Source organism: Homo sapiens, chromosome 6 (assembly GCF_000001405.40).
Source record: "Homo sapiens chromosome 6, GRCh38.p14 Primary Assembly".
NCBI classification, from domain to species: domain Eukaryota; kingdom Metazoa; phylum Chordata; class Mammalia; order Primates; family Hominidae; genus Homo; species Homo sapiens.
In genome coordinates, this window is record NC_000006.12 from 75097476 (window position 1) to 75118551 (window position 21076).

At 36.0% G+C, this 21076-nt stretch overlaps 1 protein-coding gene across 10 annotated transcripts in view; it reads right to left on the reverse strand.

The window, feature by feature from the left end:
• The window catches only part of COL12A1 (collagen type XII alpha 1 chain), a 121728-nt gene that overhangs the window by 13150 nt on the left and 87502 nt on the right, over positions 1-21076 (reverse strand). For all 10 annotated transcript variants that reach the window (NM_001424116.1, NM_080645.3, XM_011535435.2 and 7 more), the window contains 12 exons: positions 19907-20071; positions 18544-18582; positions 18309-18447; positions 16127-16269; positions 15729-15838; positions 11543-11692; positions 8944-9021; positions 7731-7817; positions 6282-6335; positions 5122-5217; positions 4524-4577; positions 4125-4178 (listed from right to left, as the gene is read on the reverse strand). In NM_001424116.1, the coding sequence (NP_001411045.1) occupies positions 4125-4178; positions 4524-4577; positions 5122-5217; positions 6282-6335; positions 7731-7817; positions 8944-9021; positions 11543-11692; positions 15729-15838; positions 16127-16269; positions 18309-18447; positions 18544-18582; positions 19907-20071 (1169 nt within the window). The remainder of the gene's footprint in view (positions 1-4124; positions 4179-4523; positions 4578-5121; positions 5218-6281; positions 6336-7730; positions 7818-8943; positions 9022-11542; positions 11693-15728; positions 15839-16126; positions 16270-18308; positions 18448-18543; positions 18583-19906; positions 20072-21076) is intronic.

The following is a 21076-nucleotide window of genomic DNA, read 5'->3' on the forward strand; positions in this document are numbered from 1 at the left end:
AAAAATTAAAAAATCTTTTCAGTTTAACTTATGCCTTTTACTGAATAATTAATTTCTATGCTCATTCACTTGTATAGTTATAAATAAAACAATTTTAAGAGCCAAACTAATCTTCTCCCAGGAAGGCAGATTCCCTTCATGAAGATATTATTTTTTGTTTTTGTAATAGCATAAAGAAGTCTAAAGGAAGATTTACCCATTCTATGGAAAAGTCAATGTCCACAGGCTGGCCCAGGAAGGATGCAGGTGAGAGGAAAGGAAAGTTACTGAGAAAAGCAAGCGGTATCATAAAAGATGATACTATGGTGGCAGAGTCTTCCTTTGTCTGCTGGGAATTGGACTCTCAGCTTAGAAATTCATTTTTCCCTTTGGTGCGTTCTCTGCACCTTCATTCTCTTCCATCATATCAGCACCCTTTAGCCCCAAAAAAACAATAAGAATTTCTCCCTATTGCTTTTACCACAGCTTCCAGATATTTTAACCATATATTTAATAGAATATTTATAATATGTACTGGTCAATACATCATGTTCTAAAGCCTAAAATTTCCTTAAGATGGAATCATCAAATTTTATAAAACATTCCTTTACCAAATATGCAAATATTAAGCTCTGTAGTAAATACTTAACATGAAAGTTTACTACACATTTAAATTCGCCCTTATCTAAGAATATACATTAAACATAAATAATAAAATTATTTTAACACATGCTCTCAAGTCTTCATACCCTGCCATACATACAGACATAGAGAAGTCTATATGGAAAATCCTGACCACCTAATTAGAAAACTCCCTTCCTCATTTCCTGAGCAACTGTCAGACAGTTAGAGCAGGACTATTTATGTCTCCACTCCTGGTGAATTTCTTTCTTCCTCTCCCAAAAGAGGCAAAGCTGGGCTGGATGCAATGGCTCATGCCTGCAATCCCAGCACTTTGGGAGGCCAAGGCAGGAGGATTGCTTAAGCCCAGGAGTTCAAGACCAGCCTGGGCAACATAAGAAGACCCTGTCACTAAAAAAAGTGAAAGAAAAAAAGTAGCCAAGCATGGTGGCACACACCTGTGGTCCCAGCTACTTGGGAGGCTAAGGTGGAAGGATCACTTGAGCCCGAGAGGTCAGGGCTGCAGTGAGCTGTGATCGCACCACTGCACTCCAGCCTGGGTGACACAGTGGGACCCTATTTCAAAAAAAAACAGAGGTAAAGCTGTCTTAACTGCCCTCCACTCAAAAGAGAGGAAATCCTCAATCCTGATAATAAGCAGTTAATTTTTGTAGTGCTCTGTCTCTCTTCAATACACACAAAGGCCAGAACTGCCTAAGCATCAGTTCACCAGGCAGGAACAGAGCACATCTCCCCACAGGCTTGATCTCTGGCTCGTGCGCCCACATTTATATGTTATTTTTTCTCTCTCTCTGTACAGTGCCAAATGACCTCTGCCTGGAATGAGTCATCCTGCTACCCAGTTAGCATTCACTCGCAACAGCAGATCTCTGAAATCCAGCCGAGGATTTCTGAGTCAGGTCATTTTTTAGAGTTGTTGCATTCCTCTGTCAGAGATTTTTGTCTCATTTTCCGCAGAGAATGAAAGTAATCATTTCATCCATATTCTTGGATTTTCACAAAAGTTGACCATTTGGAGCTCTTCCTGAATTAACTATCCACACTTTTTATTAGTACATTGACTTTACCATAGAAGTTTAAATTATTCTTTTTACATTTGTTGGAAATATTCCACTTCCCCAAAAAAAAACTTTTTCCAGAAACTTTTAGGGATAAGATTTCAGATTGTTTTCCGGAAGATCTAGGCCTGATTAACAAAAAACAGATCCTAAGCCTATCTGATGTAACACCAATATCACTTCTAAGGGCCACTTAAGAAAAAAATTCCCTATAATATTGCTTGGACAATTTGAATAAAATTTCTTCCACCCAAGTTTCTCCAACTACTATATAGGATGTTCTTTTTCATTTTTTATCGTAAATATTGTATTTCTAAATAATTAATCCTCCTTTAGTCAGTCTAAGAACTTTCTGATCAACCATTTCCTTTTAGAGGAAATATATTCGTAAATTGGAGTGAAGAAGATTTATTATGAAGTACTCAAAAAGGCTACCCACTATGCCATCTGCAGAACTTTGTGCCACAATTTTATTTTATTCTTCATTTTTTGCTGCAAGCCACAGCAGTTATTTCCACTTCTAACCAAGTGAGGGGGCTGAGAAGACTGATGGCCATTTTCATAGATACACATGTACAGATACCTGTATATGTGGTTCTTTTTTTACTTTCTAATAGCCACCAGCACTGTGCCTCATTTCAAAAATCGTCTCTGCTGAAGACAATCTCTGTATCTTGTTTCTCCCTACTTGATCCTGCTAACAAGTCTTCATTCCTCACCACAACCCTTGGCCTTGATCTCTTGTGCTTCCTTCTCTTCACTTCCACCACTGAGTTCACGTTTTGTTTTGTTTTGTTTCAGCTGAGATTCCCATACTCAAAGTCTCTCTAATGTTCTAAAATTGTTGATACCCCACCAGCTATGCACCCTCCTTTTTGCATTAGTGGTAGTTTACTAAGCAGTAGGTAGGTACACAGGCTGTGAAGGAAAAGGGAGAACAGTTTCCTGAAAAGTTCTCTTGCCCTCATCCCAGGGTGGCCTCACCACAAAGCTGGACACAGATTAGAATTTGAGAATGGAAGAGCACAGTCCCTTCCAGTCCCTTACTTTTCAGGGATGCAATTATGCTGCCTGATGGTGATGGCTGTCTGAGCACCAGTCCAGAAAGATAGTCCTGCTGGGAAGTGTGCTAGGGAACCCGCTGTGTGTCTGCATGAAGCCCACATTGGGGTGGATGTGATGGAAACAAGGCTTCGGTCGTAGCAGCAGCAAGCAAGTCAGCCCATTGCCACTTCTCAGCTGCAATATTCTGGGGTTTATTTTCTAATAAAGAAGACTGACTTGTCACCCATGTACTCTCACTGTTGTCCTTTACTGTAAAATAAGAATTCAAAAAAAAACCTAAAGTGCCAGTCTCAAAAGAGTCAGAAGATGTGTATGTCAGAACTACCTCCACATCCCATATCCCAGAAAATACAGTTTTCTCTTTGACCTCTCTCTTTTCTCTCCCCGAAACTCAAAAGGAGGCATGGGAACAAATAAAGTTCACTGGCATATCATCTACCATTTTGTATTATCTTAGGGCAAATCTTTGCTCCCTCTGAATGGCCTACCTCTCTGCCCAATGGTGTCTTGGAGGTGTTAAGGTTGATAGATTTATGTTTAGTGACAGCTGTTATAGTACTGGCTTCCTCAGATCCTGCTGCTAGTCATATATTTTAACTTGATTGATTAATCAAAATACAAACTACTCTCAGACTATTATTGGAACCATAAGATGCTGGAAAGTCATTAGTTCCTTTGTTCTGAGAAACTCTTAAAATTTCTGGGTTCTTTTTATTAAAGCATTTGTGGTCTCCTATGGAACCAAATATTTCACATTATTGATGAACAGAACATAGAGGTCATGTTCACCATGCTTCTTATTAACTTATCCTAGAGAAGACTGGGTTTCCTGTACTGCTTTCATGCTAAGTCAAGACCAAACCTGAAAGCTGCTACCAACAGGCAAATTCCCTACTAAATACCAGCTGTCTACCCCACCATCAAGGCCTAGAAGTGGTATTTGAGTTCTAAAGGTGTAGACAGGATGTCTTGAGTTTGTAGAAAGTGCTATGGGAGTCAAGGCTACCCTCATGGTTACAGAAAAGCTGCCTCACAACTAAGATTTTAATTTTAAGATTTAAAACAATTTGCTGAGATTCTTGAATCTCTTTTTAATCAGCTAAAATTCCTTTTCTGGACTTCTTTTTATGAATATGATATGGTAAGAAATTTTCTGAAAATTAAAATTTCAAAGACTCCCCTGGAGTCCCACCACTTTATTTCAAAGACCTTGAGATTGATCTGATGTTGGATGGTCCACTGACATTAGCTTTGCAGCTTTGCAGCTTTCCACAAGATATATTACCAGCCTTGCAAACTGGATTTTGAAGGGTTCTTAATTAATAGGCAACCATATGACATCATTTCCAACATCATTGTAGCCTGCTCAAGAAAACTTACTCTGTCTCCTGGAGGTCCCATTGGTCCTGGTGGGCCAGGTAATCCTGGGGTTCCCTGCACAGAAGGAAACAAACAAGTGAAACATTATAATATACTTCCTGTGTGGGAGAGAATCTTTGTTATTTTCCAAATTTTTTTTTTAATTCCAGAGACTCTGAATAGAAACAGGAGAACAGAGCCAAGCACATTGCCAAGCATACAGTAGATGCTCAGTCAACAAGCAGATACCTGAATTGAATAGCACCAACTTGAAGGTTAAGACCAGGGTATGAAATGGAAATGAGGTGAAACACATATCCAGGCTTCTGCTTTGCTACTTAATCTGGGTTCACCTTTTGAGGCACTAGAAAAGGAAATTTTCAAATAGCACATGACAGGGCAACTTAGAGACCAACTCACTGTTCGGCCTGGAAGTCCTGGCTCTCCAGCATCACCTTTCATCCCTTGGCGACCCTAGAGTGAGCAATGGGAAAACAGTTCTCAGGCGTTTCACAGAGATTAAGCAAAAAAGGAAGACATGAGTCACTTATGAAATCTTCATCACTTCATAAATCCAGTGTAAGCGTTCAGAATGAGCACAGAAGGGTATTTTTGAAAGGAGATGAATAAACCTTTTTTGAATTAATGCTCACTCTTTAAACTACAAATGCTGTGTTATAATTTCTACTTACAATGTTATGGGGTAATTTTATATAATTATGGGATATTATACCTACCTTAAAAGAATATAGTTTAACATAGGGGATATCTACTTTACTTATAAGAAAATGTTTAATAAAGTCAAATAAGTAGCAGTAATTTTTTCTACACAGTTTTATATTATTACATAGTCTATTTACGTATCTAAAATAACAGTCATCATAGAGGCTGCTATCTCGGTGACTAACCTCGTTGAATTATCTGAGAAAACATTTGATTTGGCAAAATGTAGAAAAGATTCATTTAACTAAATGTTTATCCACCACTCTCATTTAATACAGAAAGGCTTTGTGCTTACTTGCTCTCCCGGAATAGAGAGTCCATTGGGTCCCTGAGGGCCTGGAGGACCCTGGGGGCCTGGAGGACCTATGTCTCCACGAGGACCAGGGGGCCCCTAAAATACACAAGAGAGAGACAACCACAAAGTAATGTAATACCTTTTCAGTGCTGACATTTAGTCAGACACTTGTCATCATAACTCTAAGACATCAATCATATAATCTTTGTAAACTTTTAAGAATCTACATCTATGAATATATTCATTAATGTAATTTCTTCCCTTTACTATTGAAAAGTACGATAAATTTACAAGAACACTTACATTTCCATAAAAGTCCTATTAGAAATAGATTTTTTAAATAAAATACATTGCATATAATATATTCATATATTAATTTTCATAGATTTATATGAGATTAAATGCTTAAGTTTCACTGGATTTGATTTATTTTAAGCTAGTCCTCATTTCTCTTAGACTTCAGCTTATTTCTGGGACTAAAGGATATATAAATCAAGCAAGGAAAGAAAAGATGCCCATGGATGAGGTGCCCTGTGCTGGAGCTCTTTTACAATCTGTCTAGATGGAAAAGGCACAACCTTGGCATCAGGCCTGGGTTAGCATCCTAATCTTGCCCTTTCCTAATGGGGTTATTTTATCATTAATTATATTATGACCAAAAACTACACATTATCTTCATAAAATATTCCCCTGAGAAGCTTGAGTTGTCTTACAGAAAACCAGTGTGGAGCTGGCAGAAGGGGCAGGTGACCCCTTGTGAGCACATACGCAGCCACTCAGCATTTTTTTTCTGAGACTGGTGAAAAAAGCAGCAGCAGTAGTGCTCCCAACAGGCTCCAGCTCTCTAGCGGGTCTCTGCTCCCTGTGGGGTGTGGGTACCCCCTCTGCTTCCCCATGTTCTGGCCAAGGCCTTAAAGATCTTCTGCAGCTTCCCCATGTGTAATTGTTACAGCTATGACATGCATCCTATGCATTTCTTTCTCTGGCTAGTCTAATCCATCATTATGACATCCAGAGATAAGACAGAGGTAATTATATTACCTGAGGCACACTGAACCTGAGCTGACTTGCTCAAGATCACATACCCCCTTTGTGAAAATTTGAACAACCAGATTTCAACATATAGATAAGAATTTAAATGCACTCTAAAATATACTTACAATTGCCCCACTGATACCTCTTTCACCTCTGGGACCTTTAGCACCAGGTCCTCCCTAAAATACATAGAGCACATAGTAGTGTGAACATAGGAAAATAGGAGGAAGTTGATATACAAAAAGTCCTTCAAGAAAAAGTGCAATTTCCAGACAATTATTATTCTACAGCTGCTTGCAAAATACTGAAGCAAATATTTCATGTCATACAAATATGCGAGGCAAGAGAATTTCAAAACTTTGTACATTCTGAGTGTCTTTAATTATATTTCAAATTTCAAATTTTCATTTGAAAATTTGAGGTTTATTGGGAAAAGCAAACATTATACTACTTGTGTACAATAAAGAGAAAAATGAGCTTTGGATTTATGTGAATTACATTCCTTGGGGAAAATGATGGGCAAAAAGAAGAGTATCTTAAATCGCTCAGAGTATTAGAACATGTACTTAACAGGAATTCAGAAACAACTGAACAAAGAGGAAATAAATATCACAGTGACATTCAAGCATGTTACCTCACTACTACAGGGGAAAAAATCCCAACATCTCAAAAACATCTAAGTCACATCCAGGACATAATTTCATGATTATAAATATAAATCACTGTTACTAGAAAAAAAGAATGGTAACCCCAGTGACATTTTGATTCTATATATGAGGAGCTGGCTTGTAATTAACCTAAAATCGGTCTACATTATTTGCTATGACCCAAGAATAGTAAATTTTCATGTTCTGTGAATCCCTGAGCTCCTCCTGTGTTAATTACATATTTTCTTAAAAGAAGCCAAGGGAGATTAGAGCTATCCTCAAAACTGGCCCAGATCAGATACTGGATCGACTAACTCAAGGGGTTTCACATTGATCAATGAACTCTATCACTGCAATCTTCAATGTTTTGCCTTGCACTTTCTTGGTTTTCCCTCCCAACCAATGCATAAATCTGGTCATAGTCTTCTCACTCAAGTTATTCCAAACCCAGAGTTTATGATATCACATGTGTAAATTACCCTCTCTATATGTTATTCTCATGATATGTCTGCTACATAAGATGCACATGTTCTAGGTTCTCAACAAGTTGTTCTTGGGTCAGCCTCTCAGCTGTGGCTTTATACCAAACATATAAGAAGCTTTCAGGAGACGTAAGGAATTTTCAGTCATGTAATTACAGATGGAAATCCAGGTTCATATCTTTAAGAAAAAATCTCCTAAAGACTAGCCAATATTATCATTCTTGCACGGCTGAAGAAATATGTCAAATGCCACAATCAAATATTCTTCCCGATTTACTCCATTTCAGATGTCCAAATATACTAAAAAGATGGTCTGCAATTTAGCTTGCTCTATCCTAGAAAACCTGGATGAATTGAAGTATTTTACTGACTCCATATTGGCAAATAGATAATCACTCTAAAGATTTCAAAGGAAAAACCAGAGGATCTATTTCAATTTCCTTACTGCAGGGCCTGGAGGTCCTGGAGGTCCAACGCTGTCCTGTGTACATGTGCAAGAATTTGGAAAAGCAGGGCATTTTCCCTCATCTCTCTGAAATTTTGAAAAGAATATTTACCTTTAAATTTAGAGGAAAAAAATGACTTCCCATCCCCACCCCCACTTACATGCACAAGGAAGTCTGTTTCCCAACTTAAAGAAATAATTTTAATTATCATTATGAATAGTCTTATGTTGAAACTTGCTGTGCTCCTTTATGTCTTTATTTTATGCATTACGTTAGGAAACCTCACTGACAAAGAAATGTTTACAAGACCACTGAGATCTCTGGTAATTTAATCCAATTTCCTCTAATCCAGTGTTAGAGACTTGTTGTGTACCTCAAATATCAATTCCCATCTGGAAAAAAATCCAAAATTCTTTCCTCTTTCTCCATTATCCACATTGTTTTGTCCTTCACTTCATTCAGGTCTCTGCTTAAATCTCCCCTTATCACTGAGGGCTGCTACTACCTACCATCACTGTCTGTCCCTTTGCCCTGATTTGTTATGCATCCTAGGACTTTCACTCAATAATATAGTATATATGTCCTTATTAATTCTTTCTCTCCCAGTGCCTTTCACTGGAATACTCACTTTTTACTGGCTTAACACAAGCACACAGATTGGTGCCTAGCGTATAATAGGTGCTCAATAAATATTTGCTGAATAAATAATGCACACTCTTCCTGTGGATGTATGTGGGTCTTTGCTGGCCAAAAGCTTCAAATCCATCACCAACGTTCAACTTTGTAACTATTACCACCTACATAGATACTATTAAAGAAAAGTCATCATCTCAAAAAGAAATAATATGGTTATTTCTACCATCTAAAAAACCTTAGTCATCCAGAAAGGTGCTGGCTTGTTTTGTAAAATGCTGATACTTTACAAGCAATAAGAGGGCTTTACAGTAAGTGGTCTTATCAAACACATTAACTCAGCAGGACTTTTCTCTTAGGGAGAAGTCCCAGAAACAGTCTGTGTATTACCAGCTTGTGAGGGAGGGATCACACAGGCACTGGCTTTTCTGTAGTAGCTGGTGAGCACCCACACATTGCGTGTCTTTTAGCTCCATCCTGAATATACAACTGTGCAGTGCTACTTCCTCTCCCAGGCACAAGGGTTTATTACTGGGGGACTGTTAAAGCCATGGCAGAATTCAATTCTGTTTTACTTACCCTAGAGGGAATATCACAGCATCTGTCTCTACTGGTCCACACTGGACTGCAGACAATGTCAAAACTCTGGATTTGGAACTGCAAACAACCAACAGCAACATCAGCTAAAGATGCATGAAAAACATTTTATATTGGCACTTCCACATTTTAACATTGCCAACTTCTCACACATACTCTCTCAAGGGTGTGAGCCATTGAGAGCAATGTGATCCTTACTTCATGAGGAAAGACCATGAAAACATATGCCTACGAGAAAGAGATAGAAAAGTGAAACATGTATGTGAGATTCCCACTCCTGATTCACTTCTTTGGCCAAAATGCATGTTTGAACATATGTCTACGAGAAAGAGATAGAAAAGTGAAAGGTGTATGTGAGATTCCCACTCTTGATTCACCTCTTTGGCTGAAATGCAATGTTTGAGTGAGTTTTGTTCCACTTGTTTGTTAGGTATTTTCTTTTTTTTTTTCTTTTTTCTTTTTCTTTTTTTTTTTTTTTTTTTTGAGACAGAGTCCCACTCTGTTGCCCAGGTAGGAGTACAGTGGTGGGATCTTGGCTCACTGCAACATCTGCCTCCCAGGTTCAAATGCTTTTCGTGCCTCAGTCTCCCGAGTAGCTGGGATTATAGGCGTGCACCACCATGCCCAGCTAATTTTTTTGTATTTTGTAATAGAGGCGGGGTTTTACCCTGTTGGCCAGGCTGGTCTTGAACTCCTGGACTCAAGTGATCCACCCAAAGTGCTAGGACTACAGGCGTGAGCCATGGTGCCCAGCCTTGTGTTATTTTTTAAGAGAATATTAATTTCTATAATTAAATGAATTTGAAGCCCACACACATTTCAATCAAATTTGTTTTTTGTTTTTGTTTTATTTTGAGATGGAGTCTCACTGTTGCCCAGGCTGGAGTATAGTGGTGTGATCTTGGCTCACTGCAACCTCTGCCTCCTGAGTTCAAGAGATTCTCCTGCCTCAGCCTCCCAATTAGCTGGCATTACAGGCGCCCACTACCACGCCCAGCTAATTTTTGTTTTTTTAGTAGAGACGGGGTCTTACCATGCTGGCCAAGCTGGTCTCAAACTCCTGACCTCAAATGATCCACCCGCCTCGGCCTCCCAAAGTGCTGGGATTACAGGCATGAGCCACCACACTCAGCCTACATCAAGCTTTAAGAGCCCACCCTTATAGAAAAGTAACATTAAAGTAAATTAAAGAAACAAGTCTTCACTTATTCTACAATTGATGCTCTTCTTTTTAGAAATTATTACCAAGTGCTTGACCAATAACTTTTCTGATATCCTCAACTATTTCAAGATAGCATATATTTTATATCTTTCTATAGTTTAAAAATAAACCACTTTTGATAAAAAGTAAAAAGTTGTTTAGACAATGTTATTATTTTAAAAACCTGATGTAATTGTTATACTTAAATATCAGATTCAATATTCAACAGAAGGTTTGGATTTTAATCAAAATTCTATTACATTTGAACTAATTGTTTCTATATTGTGGAATAAAAATTTTCCTTTTGAATCTAGAAGAAAATCCTGTCCATGGAAGAAAGCTAAATTAAATAAATAAAGCCATTTTTAAAATAATAACTATAGAAGCCAAACAGGCTAGCTTTGCTTTTAGGACAATAGGTCTATTGATTGACATTGATTGATTGATTGATTGATTGATTGAGACAGGGTCTCAGTCTGTCACCCAGGCTGGAGTGCAGTGATGCCATCATAGCTCTCTGCAGCTGCAAATTCCTAGGCTCTAGCAGTCTTCCCACCTCAGCCTCCCAAGTTGCTAGGAATACAGGCACATGCCACCACACTCAGCTGATTGGTTTTTTTTTTTCTTTTTTATAGAGACAGGGTCTCACTATGTTGCCTAGGCTAATCTTGAACTCCTGGCCTTAAGTAATTCTCCTTCCTTGGCCTCTGAAAATGCTGGGATTATAGGCATGAGCAATGGTGCCTGGCTTTGATTGACATTTAATATGAATTTAATTAACTTGGTATGATGACAACTTTAGATTTAAATTTTCCCTATTAGATAGCATTGTAAATGGGGTTGGCACGCTCCTGCCTCAAACCTGAGATAGTGAAAGTTGTGAGTAATGGGGTCAGCTGGCTGCCCTACTCCACTGATCCTTTTGATACAGGCAGCCGAATGGCTCCTCTGTGAGCAAATGTGGGCTCTGGTGAAAGTTGCAACTAGTGTCCCCAAATGCTTAATATCCTGATTGTACAAATCTGTATTAACAATTATTGCTGAAGAACAAAATAGGAACTATTTTCTATTTCACTGGGTATGTTGGCAACTCTTTGTGTGGTGTTCTCCAATTTGATCCTGTTTCAAAATGACTACATGGTGTTCCCTGGTGCCTTGACATCTTATTTTGTTTCTAGCAAGTAGTTAAAGCACATTATTATGTTCTGTGGACATATTTTCTCAATGTACTTCTTCCAATGTTTTGATCTGACCAAGAAATTTGACAACTTAAAACTCACTGAGAAAAATAGAATAAAATAAAACTCAAGGAGTTGTTTAGAAAAATGCCATTTCAATCTTAACACAAGGTACCAAGAGAAATAAAAATGTGTTACTCACTGCGGCTGATTTCCTTTCCCCTTTAAGGAGTTTTCCAAGAATTTCATAACCATCAGTTGTTATATTTCCAGCTTCCTTGATGTCTTTTTCTATAATTTCATAGCAGTCAATGTAAATCTTAACACTTTTTGAGGTCACTACAATATGAACCTAAAAAGATAATTTGTTTCCATTATAAAATTTCTACACTAAAAAAATTAGCTGACTCTGCATAGTTTAGATCAGATTTTTTTGAAGTTTTTTAAGCTATTCTCATCCTAAATCAAAAGTCTTACTCTGAAAATCCAAGAGCAGTTGGCAATGTTGATGAAATCATTTGCTAATAATATGAAATTAGACAAGCCACTTAACCTCTGGTCTCAGTTTCCTACAAACACATACACTTGCATAATTTCTTATTTTCCCACTATCTACTCTTACTGAGATGACCAGAGAGGATATAGTAGATGAAATGACTTTGTAAGCTATAAAGAGCTACCCAAGTAGAGGTTAATAAATCATGTATATACTATTATATTCACTACAAAGAAATTTCAGATGTCTTCCACTAATTTTACTAAATTCAACTTTCAGTTTGTTGTTCCCCAATCTCAGGCAGAAATAATCTGCATACCATATAGATACCTCATACAGTAAAGAACTAGCACATGTCTTCTATAGGGATTCAACTCTGGAAATCGATAGAATTCAGGATTCAATTTTCTTTTAAGGAAAGAAGTTTATATTGATTTATTTTTCGTTTGCTACTGAAGACACACAGAATGTTAACAACTCTATTAGTATAGATAATTAATAAAATGTTTGTATTTCAACAATGTAAAGAATGGTCCTGGGTAATCCTTGTCTTTATAGTTATGCTCAGAGTTTCTACTTATCACAGCACAAATACTCAAGTAAGCCCTTGATGATGACTTTGAAAAGTTTGGCAGCAAATTAAAAGGAACAGAAATTCCCTTAAATGCTCTCAGTCAGTAAGCATAAGAATAATTTCTAAAGTATTTTTAAACTAAATATTTTTCCCACATGGAATCACCGCCAAACCATAAGTTTACTGCATCTGTGATAAATATAAATTCCATATTTCTTTTATATAAAAGTAATACATAACTTACCAAAAATAAAGTTTAAATGCCCCCAGGACAATCAACTAATACTGAACTCAAGAAGAACACCATGCTAGGATATTTTTTATCTAATAAGAACCAAAACTTTTTGGCTCATATATGAACAACCACAGATGCAAACATTGACAAGGCATGTGAAAAACCACAGTATCCAGAAAAATTATTTCAAAATTTTTAATTTGTGACAAAATTATTCCAGGAACACTTGTCATTGAATGCTAACCATAGAGAAACACATTCTAAAAGCACATTTTGCTATAAGGTATTCAGTGTGTTTTACTGCAGTTTAAACAAATGCATAGTTACATTTCAGATTGGGCCCTTCATCTGTAGATCATTGTGCCAAGTGTGTAGAGTAACCAATCTATTTCCTAAATGATGTGTTGTTGGTCCCAGACCAGTAGAAAAAAATAGGGACCCTCTTGTCACTCATCTCCCTTCCCAGACTCTGCCATTCTAGTTCTCTTTCTTATTATAAATGTCTCACATGAATCCATGTCATCTTTCAACAATAGAAGGGAGACACAAAAAAAGCTTTTCAAGAGAATCCCCAGGAATGGATAACTGTCTGTCATTCCTTAATTAAACTATTTTAGTTAATCCCTCTCCCCAAAGTTCCCTCTCCCTGTCACTAATTTCCTGCTCTTGAAATATTGCTCATTCTCATCCCAAGTTTGAAAAACTTCAATTCAGGAATTAGACGGAAAGTGAAGAAAGAGTGCTTGAATCCTTGGCTCAGTAAAAAAATGTGAACAGCTGAGAGTGATTGAAGGTGGTACTTGAATTGATGAGATGAGAGTGGGTCAATGGGATGGGGGTATTTTATACTTGCAATTTGCAAGATGCTAGATCTTAGATTAAACTGATTCAACACATACACATACACACAATGGTAACTGTAGAGGTAATAGATATGTTAATTAGCTTGATTGTGGAGATCATTTCACAATGTATGTGTATATCGGAACATCTCATTATACAGCTGAAGTATATACAATTTTTCTATATGACATCTCAATAAAGCTGTTTAAAAAGAAAGAACGGGTTTAAGGAATGGAGGAGAAAAAAGAGCACAGTGGGAAAAAAGGAGAAACTAAAAGAAAGATTATTAAAATAAAAAACAAAGAAGAAGGTAGAGAATTTGGAAAGAAAAGACAGAGCTTGTGAGGAGAAAAAATAGGCATTATATAAAACCCAAGAATGCAAATGCCTTTCTGGGGAGGCAAATGGTATAAAGAAGAGAATGTCAAAAAAAATTGTCTGATTTGCAATCATTAATATCACTACAGACCTCTAAAAAATACTGCCTTTTAAAATTTTTAGATAAAATGAAGCATTCCATGACAGTTGGAAATTTTAAAATAACAGTTACCAAATGGTTATCAGTGGTTTAGTGGATGATCAGATTCTCAATATCTTCAGTGGTTATGAAAGGAAAAATAAAAATAGTCCTTTTTAGCAAGTTACTCAAATGTAAGTTTCACTGAGCCACAAAAGTTCATCAGACCTTTGCCAGATTCAACATCTAAGAACAGATAAAGATCAGTTGAAGCCAATAACACTTGCTAAAGTAGAACTTGCTTTTCTGATGAGGCATTTATTTTACTGCACTTCACTATGGAGGTCTGTAAACCTTTAAGTAGATATACGATTGTACTCAGGGATTTTTGTTTTTCCTTTTTTTTTTGTTATCACTAATATGTACATTGAAGCTTCCTTAAGCTTGATGAGGAGAGTCCTTTACCATCCTTATCAAAAATCTGATTAATGAATAAGAACAACACTCTGGAAAGAAAGCAAGATTCCTCAGGAGTAGAAACAGTAAGAAATACTGCTAAATCTACTCAGGTAGAAGAAATTTCTTCAATTTTCACTTGAGAATCAGCTTGAACTGGAAACATCTGTCTTTTATGTATAAGGGCTAATCTTTCTACATGCCACACTGGAGAAATTTTAAAGCATCTGTGCAACAACTGGTATTCCTGTTAACATAATCCAATGGATGAAGAAATACTATTAAAAAGTCAATTCCTACACATAAAGGGGAACAACACACACTGCGGCCTATCAGAGGGTGTCAGGTGAAAGGAAGGAGAGGATCAGAAAAAATAACTAATGGATACTAGGCTTAATACCTGGGTGACAAAATAATCTGTATGATAAACCCCCATTACACGTTTACCCATGTAACAAACCTGCACATCTTGCACACATACCCCTGAACTTAAAATAGAAGTTTTTTTAAAAAGTCTATTCCTAACTTCCATTCCTAACCTAGATCGTTCTTTTTATTTCTAATGCTTCTAACTTCAGTATTTTCTAAGTAAGAAGTGCTTCTTATTTGTCAACGAATTGTCCTTTAGAAACCTGAAAAAAAAAGTTTCTACTATCTGCTGGATGTTGACATACAGAAAATTGATTAAGATGATCAAGAATAGACAATCCCTAGAATGCATCTTAGAACTTTTAATAAGATTTTCTAGAGAATTGTGTTTTTAAAGAATAAGTGTGTTCACATAAAAATTAATCTCATAAACATTTATCTTAATTATTTTGGTAGATATTGATAACTTTTGGATTGATAAAAATAATTATTCTGCATTTCACTGGCATGTTTGTACTTTTCAATAAAATACAAGCAGAAGAAATATCAATTTCTGCATTTCACTGGCATGTTTGTACTTTTCAATAAAAAGCAAGCAGAAGAAATATTATCAATTAAAACATAATCCACTAAAATTAAGCTTTTCAAACTAAATAACATAAAGATTCATAACCAAATGGTAAGCAGAAAAGTAGGTGGATAATGTTATATATAGTATGATTCAAATTTTAAAAAGAAATAAGCATTAAAAATAAATCAAAATATTACTCGTTATCTCTTGATTAGTATATTGTTTTATTTTAAATATTATTTGAATTAACCAAATTCTCTAAAACAAGATTTTATTTTTAAAAGACATAGTTATAATTCTGCCAATTTAACATGACATTTTAATAAATAATAAATTTGTTTTATATTTTTTTCTAGAAATAAGACTCAAATAATCTTATGTTTTTACCTTGTGAAAACTTCCATAAAATAATGTCTTTACTTCTTCTGTGTCAAATGTAACAGTTTGCACCTCGCCTCTTGTATCCTTGTTAAAGAATGATAACGTCTTGCTAGAAGCTGTAATCAACATAAAAGTGTTATTAAATCATATGCATTGTATAATTTTTATTTAAAGTATTAGCAAATAATTCTTGTTGGAGAGATTTCTTTAAAAATATAATAATTTCAGTTATGATAAAATGCAATTAGGATATTTACTGATGTGTTATACTTGGAAAAGTTCAAACATAAAAGTATATATCAAATAAATATATATATAGTCTATATTCAGAAAGTTTTTTAAAAGAGAAAAGAAAAACATAATCAAAACTAAGTATGCATGTGCCTTAAGATAAAAATTCTTACGATCTGCAATCACTCCAACTTGTGGTTTGTAGTCTCTGTCTGTGATTTGCCAAATTGCAAAAGGGTCACTGGGAGTTTCTGGGAGAAGTCTGAATAATAATATAATCGTGTATGAAGGAGGGAGTCCATTTGGGTGTAGGTCTCTGTTGGATAAAACAAAAGAAAGAAAAAGGAGAGGAAAGAAAAAAAGAAAGGAAGAAAGAAAGATTGATTGCTTTAACATCAAGAACAGATACTCTTTTAAATCTTTGCACCAGAATCTCATATGGGTAGTATTAGAGGCTATTTATACTAATCTGGCTCCTTCTGACTTCTCCTTAGAAGGAGAAAAATTTAGGAAGCACATCAAAAGAACAAGCACTAAAGACCAGTTATGTAAATTATAATCGATTACTTCTAATTTGATAAAGTCACAAAAGTCTGGGAAATTACAAAATAGTCTTTTATCCTACTATTAATAACTAATTTTTCTAGACACAGAGTATTATAAAATTATATGATAATTTTAGAATGATAAACATTATGACTATGGGTATCATTTAAAGAGAATGAATCTTACTAAATATACTTAATTTCCAATGTCAGCTGTATGAGATCATAAAATGGCTTAAGGTTTTAATTTCTCTCTCCCTCCCTATCAGTAATACTTTTTACACTTCCAAATTTCTCCCCTGAAATCAAATAAATCACCCCCAGAGCTCATATATTCCCAAAAACAAAATCCATTTTAAATATGAAGGCCATATACATGTGCAAACATTTAGTGATGATAAAAGGATGGGAATTGATTGAAAGGAAATGTTTATTGGCCCTCAGCTGTAAGACAGAACAAAAAACAAAAAATTGGTCCCATGTGTCCCTCCAGAGTTTAGTCAATCATTGTTCTGGGGGAATCTTTGAAGTGGAATTGATGGTTTTCTATCTGAGAACATTTAATAACACTTTCTCCCTGAAGGTAAGAAAAAGAACCAGATAATAAGCTCATAGAAAAGAAGCTATTCCTCCATGAATTTTGATAGAGGACACAAAGCTTTCATGTCCTAATACCACACCACTAATGCCATCTTGCTTTTAAAACATATGCTCTGGGTAAGCTGACATGATGTCTTTTATACGTTCAAGAACTATCTTTATAATATTCTATGTTAAAAATATTTTCTTCACATCAACTCATCTCTCACCTAGCCCATTTTTCTCCTTCCTTAATTAGTGCTTGTGAAAAAATTATGTAATTGTATTTATGTTTCTTTCCTTTCAGCCAAAAGTTCTGATGCTTGAGAAAACAATAGGCTGTCATAAGTTAAAATGTAGAAATCATACGCTGAGCTGACTGGAAGAGTTAAACACTGGGTATTACAGTTCACTGAAAAACCTAGAACTCCGAGCCAACATGGTTAACCATTAAAGGAGTTAGAGACTTACAATGTGGTCAAACTACAACAATACAATCTCTGCCTCTTAAAATAAATTAGCTTTGGTTTTAGTCTGAATTTTCCATCAGCTTTCTCAGAGCATTTCATATTTCAGACATCATTCCTGACCCTGTCCTGAGCTTACAATACCTTAATTTCTCATTGTTCTTTTCTTTCCATAAATTGGCAAACATATTTTTCAGCATAAAAAGTTTTCATTTTAATGAATAAGAAATACAGAGTTCAGTTATCATACTCAGGTGCAAACATTCATGAAGTAAAATAACATCTACAGCTACACAACAGATTGCTAGAGCATCAGCCAATAAAAACTACATGCCAACTGTCTGATCATGGACAAGAAACACTACCTTTCATTTTCTAGAGGTCGGAAACACTAAAAAGAATGCTCTCGGTCTGCACTTATTCCATCCAGTATTCTGCACCACAGAGAGAGATGTTCAAAATATTAAGTTGCCTTCCTGTTTTAACAGCTTTTCTAGCCTTAAATTCAAAAGGGTCAGTAATCTGTTACCAGCATGAGCTTCTTGGATCTGGCAATAACGAGGCCTGAGTCTTAGTCTCCTGTGTGCAAACAACTATGTAACCTGGAAACAATTAGCCTAACTGTATTTAAGAAAACCAATCAGGGTCATCCATAAGCAGTCTTCTGACAATTCTAAAGTCCCAGGATTCTGGGAAGTCAGCAAATATTCCAAGAACTTTTTGCAGGTCTTAAGAAAAGGAAAACCTCCTGTTGTCACACTTACGCTGTAGGCTGATTCACAAACGCATTCTTCTGAATCCTGTATGCTGAGTAGCTGGGGAAAGACCCTGACTCCAAAGATACTCCTTGTACAGAAGCAAAATTCTTTTCTGTCAGGTTGTATGCTTCAAGCATTTTAAAACCTTTACATCAGAAAAGAAAATATTAAACGGAGTACATTTTAATTATTTTATTGCTTAAATCTGGAAATTAATTTGCCCCAAAGTATAAATGCTTACCTGGTGAGGTGTAGCCATCCAAATAAATGAGAGGACAACCTGCAATGTACAGTGTTCTTTAAGTATGATTCACCAACACGATGTACAAATTATATATGCACAGAAAGTAGCAATGAACGTATTTCAAGTAATAAATGACATTGTTCATTTATTAAAATAACTTCTCAATTTAATATTTTATACATTATTTCTTGTACATTTCCTACGTGTAGGAGAAATACTATTAACCAGTGTAACAAATATTTCCCTAACATTCTCTAATCCAATTGGACTTTTACAGTACTCTTAAAAATAATAAAAAAGAATTACAGGAGGAATTTTTCACATTTTTCAATAGATTTAAAGAACTTCCCTCCCAGGGAATTTTAGATTTCTGCAAAGGTAGGAGGAGCTTGTCCATCCCCAACCCTCTTCTCTGCCAAGTCTCCAAGCCTCACACTGGCTACCAAACACCATGTAACAGTAACAAGTGTGCAGTAGTTTTTGCTCTGGACCCCTCAGAGCTGAGGGTACCAGATGGCTGCATCCAGGACTACTTGGGACAGAAGAGAAACCACTCCAGCCCCCTACTCACTTTCATCAGTGCAGCTCCACTCCGAACTTCAGCATAAATTTTCATAGTAAACCAACAAAGTCTGTTTACTCTAACCAGAGTTCTTGTTTTTAAAATAATGTTTAATGGAGGGGAATATTATATTTGTAAAGCATAGCCCTGTCTAGGATCAGGGGTCTGGACTAGCCACAGACCCCTGATCAATTATGTAGGATAAATTGCCTCCTGGTAATTATGGAGGATTAATTGCCTCCATAACCTATACCCCAAGAATTGGTGTTAATGGATGGTGATAAGAATAAATCGACTTAAATAATCAATTTTTGGTTCTTCACTGTAGTTAAAAAGCTGAACTTGAAAATCTAAACCCAAACAAACAAATGGGAACCAAATGAATTTCTGAGGAACCATTTTTCTTCATTGCTCTCTTGAAGCACGGATGTTGACAGAACAAATACCAATTGATTACTAATGGGGAAAACCTTCATCTCACAGAAACGCCTTCTATATGCAATTTGAGGCTGAGATTAATTTAACCAAATGTCATAGGCATTGGGGTGGTGGGAAAAGGATATATTGAAACACTTTATTTCCACACAAGGAAATTACATATTCAAGGCTAAAAATGGATTTCTGACAAGCACACATTTAGCATGATCGCAATAGGAACAGTGATTCATCAGGTTCTCAAGTGATTTCCCAGGATCTATTTATGCACAGACTTGATCCCACAAAGGATATAGAATTGTCTACTAAGTAATTGTTTTTCAGAATAAGTGAGGTTATAGATCCATGTTGACTGTGACTTACTTGAAGTGGCAGTTTCACAAACAAATGTAATAAGATTGTCTTCGATCTTCTCAAAAGATTCAAAGTCGTCCACAATGAACACGTGCCGTTCACTTGGTTTGCTGGCAATGTTGGCAAGCTCATTGTAGTCGACATCAGCCACACCAACTACAAAGACACTGAACCCTGCAAAGTAGCATTTATAGAATGAATCACGTATCTCTTTTTCTGTCCTTGTTGTTAGAACAATGCAAAAAAATTCTTATCAGAAATGATGCTGTATTTTCTTAATGTATGCAGCAAGTCCTTTTACTTGACGTGAACTCTCTTTAATAAATACATACTTTTTCCAGGTCTTTCTATTTTCTGGTCTAAAGAATTCATTTAATTTGATTTCCTAAGATAAAATCCCAACAATTCAAATAGGAAGATTTTAATAGCAGAAAGACTTCATGTGGTGCACACTGCCTTCCACAGATCCACAGTCCTGATACACACATGAGTTCTGCAGCCATTAATATTTTAAGCTTATGTGACTCAGAAGTCAAGAATGGGCTTATTTTAAAATCTGGGTTCTTGAAACTGATTTTCTCAGGAAACTCAGGCTCAAAGGCAGAACTCTGGCCATCTTGAAAATGGAATCTACAACTCTCACTGGCAACAGACGGGCTATGACAAATAAGCAAATTTAGGCTATGACAAATAAGCACATTTTTCACTCCGAAAGCTAAATTTGACATCAGGGGAAAAAAAGCTATATAAGGAATTAGAAATATATTTAGATATAAATAAGGTAACGTGAGAAGCAAATATTTATAAGCCCAAACTTAAATCTACCAGGAGTCACAAACATGCAGAAATCTGTGTAAGGTGTATAACATAATGGCAATACATTTTATAAAAGATCAGCAAGAACAACCTCTATTGAAAAAAAGACAGTATGACTTAGCACTAATCATAACTCATAAATTTAGCCAAAGAATCATGCATGTACAGATGACAAGTTCCATGTAATTACTTTATAATTTACTACAACAAATTATGCATAAGATTCTCTCTAAAAATATATCCACCTTAGACCTTGCTTGGGACAGCAGGGGGTAGGGGGGCTGTTAATGCAAGTACTGGAAAGATCTACTTTCACCTCTAATGATCTTAAATAACTAATCCAAAGAACAGTGTTACCAGGAG